This window comes from Homo sapiens, chromosome 8, assembly GCF_000001405.40.
Source record: "Homo sapiens chromosome 8, GRCh38.p14 Primary Assembly".
Lineage (NCBI taxonomy): Eukaryota > Metazoa > Chordata > Mammalia > Primates > Hominidae > Homo > Homo sapiens.
In genome coordinates this window covers 67619095-67633029 of record NC_000008.11, presented here as the reverse complement: position 1 = coordinate 67633029, position 13935 = coordinate 67619095, and the positions used below count along the sequence as shown (strand labels likewise).

At 41.8% G+C, this 13935-nt stretch overlaps 1 protein-coding gene across 3 annotated transcripts in view; it reads left to right on the top strand.

Moving 5' to 3' along the window:
* Positions 1 to 13935, top strand: part of CPA6 (carboxypeptidase A6) — a 324323-nt gene that overhangs the window by 113331 nt on the left and 197057 nt on the right. For all 3 annotated transcript variants that reach the window (NM_020361.5, XM_017013646.2, NM_001440615.1), the window contains one exon: positions 8779 to 8854. In NM_020361.5, the coding sequence (NP_065094.3) occupies positions 8779 to 8854 (76 nt within the window). The remainder of the gene's footprint in view (positions 1 to 8778; positions 8855 to 13935) is intronic.

Here is a 13935-nt window from a genome sequence, read left to right as displayed (position 1 = left end):
AATTATAGTAGGTATATTGAGTAAAATTGGCTCAAATTGTCAAATTCATCAGAAAAATAAGGACACAGTAAATGAAAATCATATAATCAATATGCTTAATAGGTATATATAGACCTTTTTATATACGAAAGATATTCTTTTCAAATATTTGTGCACTATTTCTAGAACTTGAATACATATTAGGTCATAAATACCAATGCAACGAAGTCTACAGAGTAGATATCATATGGGCCACCTTCTCTTACTTCAAGATAATAAAACAGTAACAAAAATAATTCTTCCCACCCAAAATACATCTCACTGCTTCATATATTTTTTAACATTCTTCAAAATAGCTCTCTAGTAAAGAACGACTAAAAACTCAATTGTCAACTATTAGATCTGAACATCAATGAGAACATCACATATTAAAACATGAGGCTTGGTGCAGTGGCTCATACCTGTAAGCCCAGCACTTTGGGAAGCCAAGGTAGGAGGATTACTTGAGTCCAGGAATTCGAGAGTAGCCTGGGCAACATACTGAGAAAAAAATCTCTAAAAAAAATTTTTTTTTAATTAGCTGGGCGTGGTGGCACACACCTGTAGTCCCAGCTACTCAGGAGGCTGAGGTGGGAGGATCAATTGAGTCCAGGAGTTTGAGAGTAGCCTGGGCAACATAGTAAGACCCCATTTCTTTAAAAAAAAGTTTTTAATTAGCTGGGCAGGGTAGTGCTCACCTGCAGTCCCAGCTACTTGGAAGGCTGAGGTAGGAGGATCACTTGAGCTCACAAGTTCGAGGTTACAGTGAGCTGTGATCATGCCCCTGCACTCCAGCCTGCATGACAGAGCGAGACTGTCTCTGAGAAAACACACACACACACACACACACACACACACACACAGCATCATTTTTTAAAGGTTTACAAAAAGTTTAAAAAAAATGCTTCCTTATGAATACAGTTATAAAACTCTGAAATAAAATATTAATGTGTCCAGAATTGGTGGGTTCTTGGTCTCACTGACTTCAAGAATGAAGCCACGGACCCTCGCGGTGAGTGTTACAGTTCTTAAAGGTGGTGTGTCTGGAGTTGTTCCTTCTGATGTTCGGACATGTTCAGAGGTTTTTCCTTCTGGTGGGTTCGTGGTCTCGCTGGCTTCAGGAGTGAAGCTGCAGACCTTTGCGGTGAGTGTTACAGCTCTTAAGGTGGCACGTCTGGAGTTGTTCATTCCTCCCGGTGGGTTCATGATCTCGCTGGCCACAGGAGTGAAGCTGCAGATCTTCGCAGTGAGTGTTACAGCTCATAAAGGCAGTGCAGACCCAAAGAGTGAGCACCAGCAAGTGTTATTGCAAACAATAAAAGAACAAAGTTTACACAGGGTGGAAGAGAACCCTAGTGGGTTGCCGCTGCTGGCTCACAGCCTGCTTTTATTCCCTTATCTGGCCCCACCCACATCCTGCTGATTGGTCCATTTTACAGAGAGCTGATTGGTCCATTTTACAGAGAGCTGATTGGTCCGTTTTGACGGTGCTGATTGGTGCATTTATGAACCTTGAGCTAGACACGAAAGTTCTCCAAGTCCCCACTAGATTAGCTAGACACAGAGCACTGATTGGTGTGTTTACAAACCTTGAGCTAGACACAGTGCTGATTGGTGCATTTACAATCTTTTAGCTAGACACAGAGTGCTGAATGGTGCATTTACAATCCTCTAGCTAGACATAAAAGTCCTCCAAGTCCCCACCAGATTAGCTAGATACAGAGTGCTGATTGGTGCATCCAAAAACCCAGAGGTAGACACAGAGTGCTGATTGGCGCATATGCCATCTTCCAGCTAGACATAAAAGTTCTCCAAGTCCCCACCCAACTCAGGAGCCCAGCTGGCTTTGCCTAGTAGATCCCACACCGGGGCCACGGGTGGAGCTGCCTGCCAGTTCTGCACCATGCAGCCGCACTCCTCAGCCCTTGGGTGGTCGATGGGACCAGGTGCTGTGGAGTAGGGGGCCGCGCATGTTGGGGAGGCTTGGGCCACGCAGGAGTAGGGGAGCGGGGCTCAGTCATGGCGGGCTGCAGGTCCCAAGCCCTGCCCCTCGGGGAGGCAGCTGAGGCCTGGCAAGAATTCAAGCATGGCACCAGTGGGCCGGCACTGCTGGAGGACCCAGTGCAGCCTCCGCAGCTGCTGGCCCAGGTGGTAAGCCTCTCACTGCCCTGGGCTGGCAGCGCCAGCTGGCTGATCAAAGTGCGGGGCCGCGGAGCCTGCGGCCACCCGGAACTCACACTGGCCCACTAGCACCGTGCGCAGCCCTGGTTCCTGCCCGTGCCTCTCCCTCCACACATCCCCTCAAGCAGAGGGAGCCAGCTCCGGCCTCGGCCAGCCCAAAGAGTGGCTCCCACAGAGCAGCAGCGGGCTCAAGGGTTCCCCAAGCATGGCCAGAGTGGGCATTGAGGCCGAGGAGGCACTGAGAGGGAGCGAGGGCTGCCAGCACACTGTCACCTCTCATTAGCATATAAAATCCAGCCATTTCTTTAAAAGGTGGTACAGCAGGTCCTAGAATAACATTGTTTTTCATTCAACATCATTTTGCTATAACTTTGACAAGAAAAAAAAAATCAATTCCCACCAGGGCCACTGTCTGTGAGGAGTTGGCATGTTCTCCCCATGTCTGTGTGGGTTTTCTTTAGGTACTCAGTTTCCCCCCACATCCCAAAGCTGCACCTGTTAGGTTCATCAGCATGTCTACATGGTCCCAGGCTGAGTGAGCATGGGTGTGTGAGTGTACCCTGTAATGGATGGCGTCCTATCCAGAGTCAGTTTCCACTTTGTGTCCTGAGCTGCAGGGACAAGCTCCAGCCACTCTTGACCCTGAACTAGAATAAGTGGGTTGGAAAATGAATTAAGGAATGAATACAAATTATTATTATTATTATTATTATTATTATTTTAATTGAGACAGATTCTCACTCTGTCGCCCGGACTGGAGTGCGGTGGTGCAATCTCGGCTCACTACAAGTTCCGCCTCCCAGGTTCACGCCATTCTCCTGCCTCAGCCTCCCGAGTAGCTGGTGCTATAGATGTCTGCCACTACGCCCAGCTAATTTTTGTATTTTTAGTAGAGACAGAGTTTCACTGTGTTAGCCAAGATGGTCTCGATCTCCTGACCTCGTGATCCACCCGCCTCGGCCTCCCAAAGTACTGGGATTACAGGTGTGAGCCACCACGCCCAGCCAGGAATGAATAAAAAGTATTGTAAAATAAAAACTCATAGGCAAAATCATACAAAGCCATGACAATAAATGATGCAGTACAAAAGCCCTCAGCAAACCCACTATATTTGTTATTGTTTGTTTGAACTGCATGTTGGGAACAGAGGTTCATATTTTAGCTTTGCAAACATCTATTCCTTGATTTAACCCACCACTGCAACAACCGCTATCCATCACAGATTCACCAAAAATTGAGTACATAATCTTACTTGTCTTTATTAATTTTTCTTAAATGTATATATAGTTCACTTTTATTTCAATGTTTAATATTAGAAGTACTTTGGGTCTTATTTTTTTTTTTTTTTTTTGAGACAGGGTCTCATTATGTCACCCAGGCTGGACAAAATGCCTTGATCATAGCTCACTGCAGCCTCCAGCTCCTTAGCCTGAGTGATCCTCCTGCCTCAGCCTCCCAGGTAGCTGGGACTATATGTATGTGCCATGATGCCCAGCTATTTATTTATTTATTTATTTATTTATTTTTGCGGAGACAGGGTCTCACTATGTTGTCCAGGTTGGTCTCAAACTTCTGGCCTCAAGCTATTCTCCTACCTCAGCCTCCCAAGTTCTGGAATTGCAGGTATGAGTCACCACACCCAGCTATGGGTCTTTATTTAGAAATTTGGTGATTTTTTTTGTTTGTTTTTTTGGGGGTTTTTTTGTTAGTTTGTTTCGAGATGGAGTCTCACTCTGTCATCAGGCTGGAGTGCAGTGGCATGATCTCAGCTCACTGCAACTTCTGCCTGCCAGGTTCAAGCGATTCTCCTGCCTTAGCCTCCAGAGTAGCTGGGACCACAGGCATGTGCCACCACACCCAGATAATTTTTGTATTTTTAGTAGAGATGGGGTTTTGCCATGTTGGCCAGGATTGTCTCAATCTCTTGATCTTGTGATCCACCTGCCTCGGCCTCCCAAAGTGCTGGTATTACAGGCATGAGCCACTGCACACGGCCTGGTGATTTTTTCATGACCAGAAATATGCCCATAGGAACTTAACTTGCTTCTATCAGTTAGTTTATGGTAAAATCGGTTCTGTTAGACACTGTTTCATGTAAAGTCACAATTTCCAAGAACTTATCATTGATGTTAATCAAGAACTTATTATATTTTAAAACCAACATATGAAGTAAAAGATAAAAGCAAATTAGTGTTACAAAATGCTGTAAAACAAACACTGCGTGTACGTGTATTAATGCAGAAAAGAGTTCAGAGTGATACACAAGAAACTGTTAACAGTGGCTACAAAGGGAAGATGGAAGGCTTGGAGTTGGAAGAGAACTTTATCATTTCATATGCTCTGTAATATTTTAATTTTTACAAGTGTAGGTTCGTAAATTCTGTAACGTACAAAGAAGTTTAGGATTTCATAATGGAATCAGTTGCGAAAGGTCATGCCAGGAGCCACAAGGAAACATCTGAAGCTTCACATCTCTGTCTTTCAACAGGACTTTCAGGTTGCCTAGAGGACAGAGATACTCTTCCTTAGCTGCTGCACAGTCAAGGCACAGAAGAATGGCAATCAATATGGGAGGTGTCAAACCCAGGCAACACAGTCTTAGAACTTTTTTTTTTTTTAAGATGGAGTCTCGCTCTGTCACCCAGGCTGGAGTGCAGTGGCTCAATCTCGGCTCACTGCAATCTCCGCCTCCCAGGTTCAAGCCATTCTCCTGCCTCAGCCTCCTAAGTAGCTGGGACTACAGGCACACACCACCACCCCCAGCTAATTTTTGTATTTTTAGTAGAGATGGGTTTTCACCATGTTGGAAGGCAGCTGGGAGATCATCCCTCACTCCTCCAGTGAAGAAACTGAGACCCAGACATAATATAGAGTTGGAGATCGTGTTCCCTTTCTGAATTTTCTGTAGGTGCATACATGCTCAGAAGGCATTCGGTAATAGTTTTTGAACTGATTACATTTATTTACTATTGTCTTATTCATGTGGTTGCTACTGTACAGCAGGATTATTAGTCAAACTCACAACCAAACTCAACGTGGGCTTTATAGCTACATAACCTCATTTGTCTTGTAGGGCAAAGGAACAAAATGTAAGCATATCATGGATTAATAAGTGTTAGTAATTCCTGGGAGACTAATCTGGGATGTCCTGCTTCCTCTATAAGACATCCTTAAACTAAAATTAAAAATGCTTATGCTGTCTTTCTTTGGACACCTTTATATAGGCTAAGTTAGAAATATATGTGCATAAGAGCAGCTGTTTGCCCAGTAGTCTTTCTAACCTCAACCCATATTCAATTCTTTGATTCCCTCATCTTAACCCCAAAGGGTAGCCAAAGGGTCTTAAGTTGATGTTACCACCTAACAGTTAAAAACAAACAAACAAACAAACAAAAAACCTGATAAGTTATAAGGAAAAGCCTCTAAGCTCACCTCCTCTGATAGTTTTGCATGGTTAGTTTTTCTAAGTTCCAGTAGACTACCTGAAACTTCCCTGTTTCTAGCACCAAATTACTCACCACTTCAAAAAACACTAGCTATCAGATTTAGGGAGAGTAAGCTTTTTGTTTGGTGAAACAAACAGGGCATTTGGGGGTCATGTGGTTTTCACATGCTGAATAAAGAGCTCTTGTTGGGCTTTGGTTACCCGTCATTCCATCAATATAATTTACTGGTTCACAAAAGAGTATGACATTTCATGGGTCTTTCTACATTGCCTTCCTTATTCTCTGTCCTTTGATAAGTTATCAAACAGCAATAAATTCATTTCTAAAGTCACACCTGAGAATTTCTAAAGGCTGGGATGAAATGAACTTTTTGTAACAAAAATGAGAAAACTGGATTTGAGCAATCACTTTCAGGGTTAAATAATCCCAAGGGTAGTTTCTTTGTATCCTGTACTTATTTGCAGAAGAGGAACTGATTGCCAGGTTGAATTATCCATCTTTAAAAAAAAAAAAAAAAGTTATTCTCATGGCTGTAAAACAGCTACAGATTGCTTTTCTTGCACTCTTGAGGAGCTGACAAGGCCCCAGATGGAGGTGTTTTTCAGCAAGCTGTCAAGTGATCCATCCATCAAAAACAGCCATATCACCCAGCCGAGCTTGCTTTCTCTGCCAAGAATTGTATTGGGTCAGATGAGAAAGGCCAGGGTATGATGAATCCAGAAAAAACACAGGTCAGAGAAATGTATATCAGAAAAGAGAAGAGATGTGGTTACATTTAAATTCCAAAGGTTATATTTAGATTTGTTTTACAGTGACTTGACAATTTTTTCCCGGTACTTTCTTTTATTCTTTCCAGAAATATGAACTTCATGACATTGATACTGAGAGGTGGTTTGTGTGATTTTGAGGAAATCAAAGCTGTAAAGTTCTGTTAGAGTAGCAGTCCATAAAACAGTAATTTATTATCAGCAAGCCAAGGGCCTTTTTATTCATAGGCCTAAAGGAGCTATTACAGGATCATTTGAAATAATAAAACTATCATGATTGGAAATAAACACAAAAGCCCTAAAAAATCATTGCCCAGCAAGTCCAGAAGTATCTCTAGGGATCTGATGCCCTCCATATTAGCCTTACTTCATCTTGGAAACTGCTATCCATCTGTATTATCCCACTCTCACACCACTATAAAGAAATACCTGAGACTGGGTAATTTATGAAGAAAATAGATTTAATCAACTCACAGTTCCACAGGCTTAACAGAATGCATGCCTGGGAGGCCTCAGGAAACTTACAATCATAGCAGAAGGGGAAGCAGGGACCTCCACATGGTGGCAGGAGAAAGAGGGAGCAAAGAAGGAGGTGACATACACTTTTAAACCATCAGATCTTGTGAGAAATCACTCACTATCACGAGAACAACAAGGGGAAAATATGCCCCCATGAACCAATCACCTTCCACCAAGCCCCTCCTCCAATTTGACATGAGATTTGGGTGGGGACACAATCCAAATCATATCATCATCTAAGAAGTAAAATGACAGAAAATCATGCAAATTCCATTCTTATTCCTGGTGCACCTTTGGGGTTGGAGAGACAAGTTGTAGGTGAAATAGTAGAGTTTTTGTTTTCTGCTTTATATTCTATTAATAATATTCTACCTTATCTTTAATCATTGTAAAATGCCATAGAGAGTTATGAAAAATATTAATTCCTACTGTGCTTTATTTACTTAGTTTTTCCTTTATATTTCATCTGGAAGCCAATTACTCTCAGCAATCTCCTTTATGCCAATCCATTAATATTTAATAAGCATCTACTCTATGCAAAAGACATTGAATAGTTGTGATTATTATGTGCTAGAGCTGTGCTTCCCAACCTGTCCTCATCATGACACACCTAAAAATTGATAGCCTACTTTTCTGGCACACCTGGGAGACAAGGCCCCCAAAGAGAAACTTTCTGACAGACACAGCAACACCTTAAGTCATCTTAGGTAATTCAGGACCTTTACAGAAAGAACCTTATATTGTGTTCAAATATAATTTCAACTGTGGTAAAACCTTTGTGGTTGTGAAACTGACCCAGTAGTCCTATAGAGATTTTTTTTGATAAACACAGGTGGATTCTTCTGGTCTTAAAGATTGAAACTTATATTTGTTTTATCTGAGTTCCTTCCTCAGAAAGTGACCTTCAGGCCTATCAAAAAGTATCAAAGAACTGAAAGAAACTCACCAGATCACATCCTGACAGTGAGATGCAAGACCCCTCATTCATTATGATTGCTTTCTTGCTCCTCCCTAGTTTCTGCTTGGTACACATTGTTACATTTCTTCCCTGCTATACACACCTGTAGTTTTTGTCCATCAGGGAGATGGATTTGAGACTGAGCTCCCATCTCCCTGGCTGCAGCACCTGATTAAAGCCTTCTTTCTTGGTAATAATCATCTTCTCAGTGATTGCTTTATGTGCAGAAAGCAGCAGGACCTAGACCAAACCCCTGGTGTTTTGGTAACAGTTGTAAACATTGATTTTTAATTTGTATCACTAAAAAATTTACAGCCATCAGTGTCTAACGCCGACGGCCCTCTTGTTTGGCCCCACAAGCCAGGTGGGAAGCTCTGTACCAGAGAAATGAGATGCCCCATAGAGATGGGCTTCTCCTTACTGTTCTCCATGTGGGAAGAATTCAAACCAGAAGCTTTCCCTAGTGTGTGGATTTCACATCCTCTCACTGAAAGTCACATTCCTTTTCAGCATTATGTTTAAAAAAAGAATGACTTTTCTTTCTTCTGTCATCAGAAATTTTCCTTCTTGGTATCTGCTCTGAGCAGCTCATGAAAGTTCCTGTCCCTCGTTGCCACTCTTTTTGTGTTTTTGGCCTTTTTCTGCATTTATAACATTAAATGTGAGTTTGTAATCTTCAAAAGCTGATGAAACACCAAATAGCTTTAAGACAAGAAGAAAAGAACAATGCAATCAGAGAATAAATTGGATAAAATACTTACTGGGCCAGTGAAAAGTTTCACTGTTTTTCTTCTTAAATGCAGAGGCAGTTTTTTAAGAGGTAAGAAAGAGATGACTAATATCTTTATTTTCGAAAAGTAATTATCATCTTTCTTTTCTTATCTTGTAGTGATAAAGTGATAAGATTTATTCCCAAAACAGAAGAGGAAGCATATGCACTGAAGAAAATATCCTATCAACTTAAGGTAATAGAACATCTACACACTTATGGTAGAATTGTGCTTGTGGAGTGTTTACAGGGATTTGCTGACTGGAGTTGAATAATTGGAATTTATTAGCCAAGAAAGTAAAGGCTAAGGAGATAACTTGAAAGAGCTTTTATTTTATTTTATTTTATTTTGTTTTATTTTATTTTATTTTATTTGAGACAAAGTCTCACTCTGTTGTCCAAGCTGAGGTGCAGTGGTGCGATCTCGGCTCACTGCAGCCTCCACCTCCCGGGTTCAAGCAATTCTCCGGCCTCTTAGTAGAGACGGGGTTTCACTATGCTGGCCAGGCTGGTCTTGAACTCCTGACCTCGTGATCCACCCACCTCAGCCTCTCAAAGTGCTGGCATTACAGGCATGAGCCACCGTGCCCAGCCAAAAGAGCTTTTAAAGGATATTTAAGGCTACTCAAAAATTTTCTGGCTGTGTGCAGTGGCTCATGCCTGTAGTCTCAGCACTTTGGGAGACTGAGGCAGGCAGATCACTTGAGCCCAGGAGTTCAAGGCCAGCCTGGGCAACATGGTAAAACCCCATCTCTGCAAAAAAATGTAAAAATTTAACCAGGTGTGGTGTCACATGCCTGTAGTCCCAGCTACTAGAGAGGCTGAGATGGGAGGGTCAGTTGAACCTGGGAGGTTGCAGTGAGGTCTAGTATCTCTTTTTTTGAGACAGGGTCTTGCTCTGTCGCCACTGCTCTCTAGCCTGGGCAAAAGAGAGAAACCCTGTCTCAAGAAAAAAAAAAAGAAAATTTTCTATCTGACACATTATCTATTTACTACCCATCTCCAAGGTAGAATGTAAATTTCATGAGAGAGTTTATCTATTTTTTGTTCATTGCTGTATTTCTAGTTAGTGTCTGGAATGTCCTAGAAGTTCAATACATGGTTTTGTTATTTTTCCTTAATGAATGAATGAATTCAGTTTCCTGTTTTCTAGAGCTTCTCTTTTCCTTCTTGAATCTTCCTACTGATCATCTAGGCACTTTCCTCTTAATTAAAACTTTAAGCAGAAGTGAGTTGAGGAAAAATTAAAGCCAGAAATTCAAGTTAATTAGTTTTGCTATGTTTCAGTGGGTCTGATAAGAGAATTTTCTTGGCAAAGGTTGAAGGCTCTGATTATTCAATCTTTGATAAACTTTATGGATTTTAGAGTTAGAGCATTTCTGTAACTCCATCAGTGCATACAATTGAGTGTTAGTTTTTACCTAAAAGTTACGATGAGAAGTGTGGTGTGATTGGTTCTTTTCCATGCCTACCAAAACACAAGCAAGCCCAAAAACTATGTGGTGGTTTAGGCTTCATTTTAATGGACAGCAAAGCAGATTACCAAACAGGCCTCATTAATCTTTAATATGAAATAGAAAAATGTTTTTTCCTACATGACTGAAGTACAGTCCTACCTGAAGGAGTGTTAGGGAATGAGGGAGGAAGGAGACATTGTGGCTTCTGGAGATATTTGTAATTAACAAACTTTTTTTCTTTTATTTATGGTTTGATTTTTCTCTTTGGCATGTTCCCCTTCAAATATTGAATTTATTTGCAAATGATGTCTTGAACATTGAGTTTATTGATTCCCTGTCTTCTCCTCATTCCCAGCCCCTATACAAATAGTATTGAGTTCAAGCATGGTGTCTCATTACAAGGGCCCAGGGTGAGGATGCAAGAACCCATCCCCAAATTGTGGTTGTTTTATGCAATACCAGAGAGACCATGGTCACTGGGCATTTCCTAAACCTCCTTTTCTTCTAGCAGGAATCTGCTTCTAGGAGGCTATCGTTAACCTCTTCACCCAACGACATCCTTTTCAGCAATTGTAGCTGAACACTTTCTGAATAGTCCACCAGGAACTTATTAATTGCAAAGAAGCAAAGCAAGTTTTGAGTGGAAGTTTCCGTCTCCACTGAAATTGTGTTTTCATATACCACCAGAAAAATAGCCACTTTTCATTTTGAAGTCCAGTGTTTTAGGGAACAGATATTCTGAACAAAATATTGGAGCAAAATATTTCTCAAAGGATGTTTCTACCATTTGTGAATCTATTTACGTGTTAGGCCTTACAAAGTAATGAACTTGCACTGTTATATTTGTGATAATCACTTACCATTATCAAAAGCAATAAAATTACATCTGTGAGGACTGTAGGGGTTACTTATAAACTCTCAGAAATCATCATAGATGGAATCAAAGCTCTAGACTGTAAATAGGGCTGCTGGCACTGATGACCACACATTTACATTGGGCCCTTTTTGGTAAGCATTTAAAGAAAATCATTCCTGCAGATTGTTTTCATTTAGTCCTCAAAGAAAGGCGGCCACCTGGGGGAGGAAATGGGGTTTGGATGTAAAGGAGCTTAGGGGACAACTCAGAGAATGGAGGGAAAGGGATCTGGTGAGAAAGAAGGGAGCAGAGTGAAGGGAAGAAAGAAGCTTAATATTAGGATATCAGCTGTGCTCTACACTCCACACAGTCACATCCAGCTCCTCTCAGCCACAATGCTACATGCTTCTACAAATTGCCTCATTTTAACAATCTTATGAAGTAAGTCTATTGTTATTGCTGTTTTACAGAAGAAGAGAGACAGAGTTAAGTAACTTGCCCAAGCCACAGTATGGGATTGGAACATGGATCTAGTCGGTGTCAAGCCCTCTAGGACCCAAATGAGGCCTGCCTCTTGCCTCTAGTCAGTTTATTCTGATTTTCCTCACAATGGAGAGGATTGAAGCCAAGTTTGCAGGGCAGTGGAGCCTAGACTCAGAATGTGATCATTATCATTATCATTTACTTTAACTCTAGAGTCAGGGGTCACCAAGACCATGCCCCCATTCAATGGGTTGCATAAGGACTCACCAAACTCAGCATATAGTCCTACTCACAGCTATGATCGGTCACAGCAAAAGGATACAAAGCAAAATCAGCAAAGGGTAAAGGAGTATTGGGTGAAGTCCAGGGGAAATGAGGCACAAGCTTCCAAGAGGCCTCTCCCAATAGAGTCACACAGGATGTGCTCAATTCCATCAGTAACAACTTGTGACAACAAACATGCAGTGTTGTCTACCAGGGAAATTCATTAAAGACTCAATGCCTGGGGTTTTTATTGGGGTAAAGTTATGTAGATACCCTCTGCCTAGCACATACCCAAATTCCAGACTCCCAGAAGAAAAGTAAGTGTTCAGCATGAACTACATTATTTGCACAATCTAAGCACATTGAATCACTCTTATTAGTTAGAGTGGTGGTAGCCCTCCTGATATCCAACTTTCCAAATGCCAGCCAAGGCCAATTTTACAAGCAGGCCTTTCTAAAGATAGTATTTTTCAGACCTGCTCTGTTAAATTTTTTTGTACATTTCTTCATTTCCTTTCACTAAAGAGGTAGTTTTATTGGATTGAAGTTGGAGATATTGAGTTTCGATAAATTTCTATCTAAAAGCATTGCGTTACCTTGATGTCATTTTAAATTTGAATGATTTCAACCAAGCAAACCATTTGTACTATGGAAAGCAGCAATTCTGGCCAGGCAGAGAAAGCAGCCTGCAGAGAAAAAAGAATATGACCGTGTGTCATCTTCCAGCCTGTGGAGCTAATGGGACAGAATTATGGGCATTGCTAACAGCTTCTTTGCATTCCCTGTGCATTGCCTCTAGAAGGGAAGAAGGAGGGTTTGCCAGAAGACCTTTAGTTGCCTTCCTTCCCTAAATCACACTGTGATAGACAGAATTCTAAGATAGCCCCAAGATTTCTATCCCCTCTGGTGTACATGCCCTGAATAATCACTCCCCTGAGGATGAGGAGGGGCCTGTGAATATGATGGGACAGCCATTCCTTTGATGATGCTACATTATATGGCAGAAGGGAAATGACATAGGGCAGACCTGACCTAAATCAGATGAGCACTTTAAAAGCAAAAAGTTTCCTCTAGCTGTTCACAGAAGAGGTCGGAGAAGTGCTTCTGCTGGTCTCAAGATAGCAGTTCACAAACTGCTAAGTTGTGAACTATCCATGAGAGTCACGAGCTAAGGAATTCCAATGGCCCCTAGGAAGTGAGAATGGATTTCAGCTGATAGGCAGCAAGGAAATTGAGACATCAGTCCTCCAAACACAAGCAAGTGGATTCTGCCACATAAGCCTGGAGGAGGCAGCCCAGCGGACACTGTTATAGGACCACTAGGTTTGATTGCCCATTGTGCAGTAACAGACCAATATACTGAAACAACAAGAGTTGCAGCAGATAAATGGTTTGATAATTGTAGGGCAGCCAAACAAGGAGATGGGAGGAAACCTCAAATCTGCCTCCCCAAGGAGGTTGGGTTAGGGTCTGAACAGGTGATGGGCTGAACAGGAATTGGGATCACAGATTGATTGAGAAGTGAGGAGTGAAGTCATGGGACAGGAAGTTGAAAAAACTGCATTTCCTACACTTCTTTGCTGAGTTGGTTTATTGGTGGAGGTCTTCAGACTGGTTGGTGTCAGCTATTCTGCTGGAATTCAAGATCTGAAAAACACTTTAAGCAACTCTTGGGCAGAAAGGTCCAGTGCCAGAGATTCCATCTATAGGAACAATGTGGGGAGCAGGTGGTCCGTGCTCCCCACAATGTGGATCTCAGTTAGTTAGCAGCTGCAGGAACTTGGGTAGAAGTACATCAGCACACCCCGGTCAATGCCCAACTATAATTCTGCCTAAAGCCTGACTTGTAATTCTCATAAGGGCTGTTTTAACAGCTTGATTTTAGCCCATTGATACCTGAAGAGAGAATCTAGCCAGCCATGTCGGGACTTCTGACCTGCAGAACTGTGAGATGATAAATAGGTATTGTTTTAAGCTGCTAAGTTTGTGGTAATCTATTCTGCAGGAGGAGAAAACCCACACACACAGTGAACTAACAACCTACATCTTGGCCTTTGGCTCTCAGATTCATATATGAATCATTGTTAATTTTCCTGATTTCACTAGTTGTAACCAAGCATCTTAGGGAAAGTGGAAAGTAATTGGACTACATGCATAGGCTATAAATTCACAATGTCTTCTCTGAAACATGAACAAATGCAAAATGCATGTGCATGT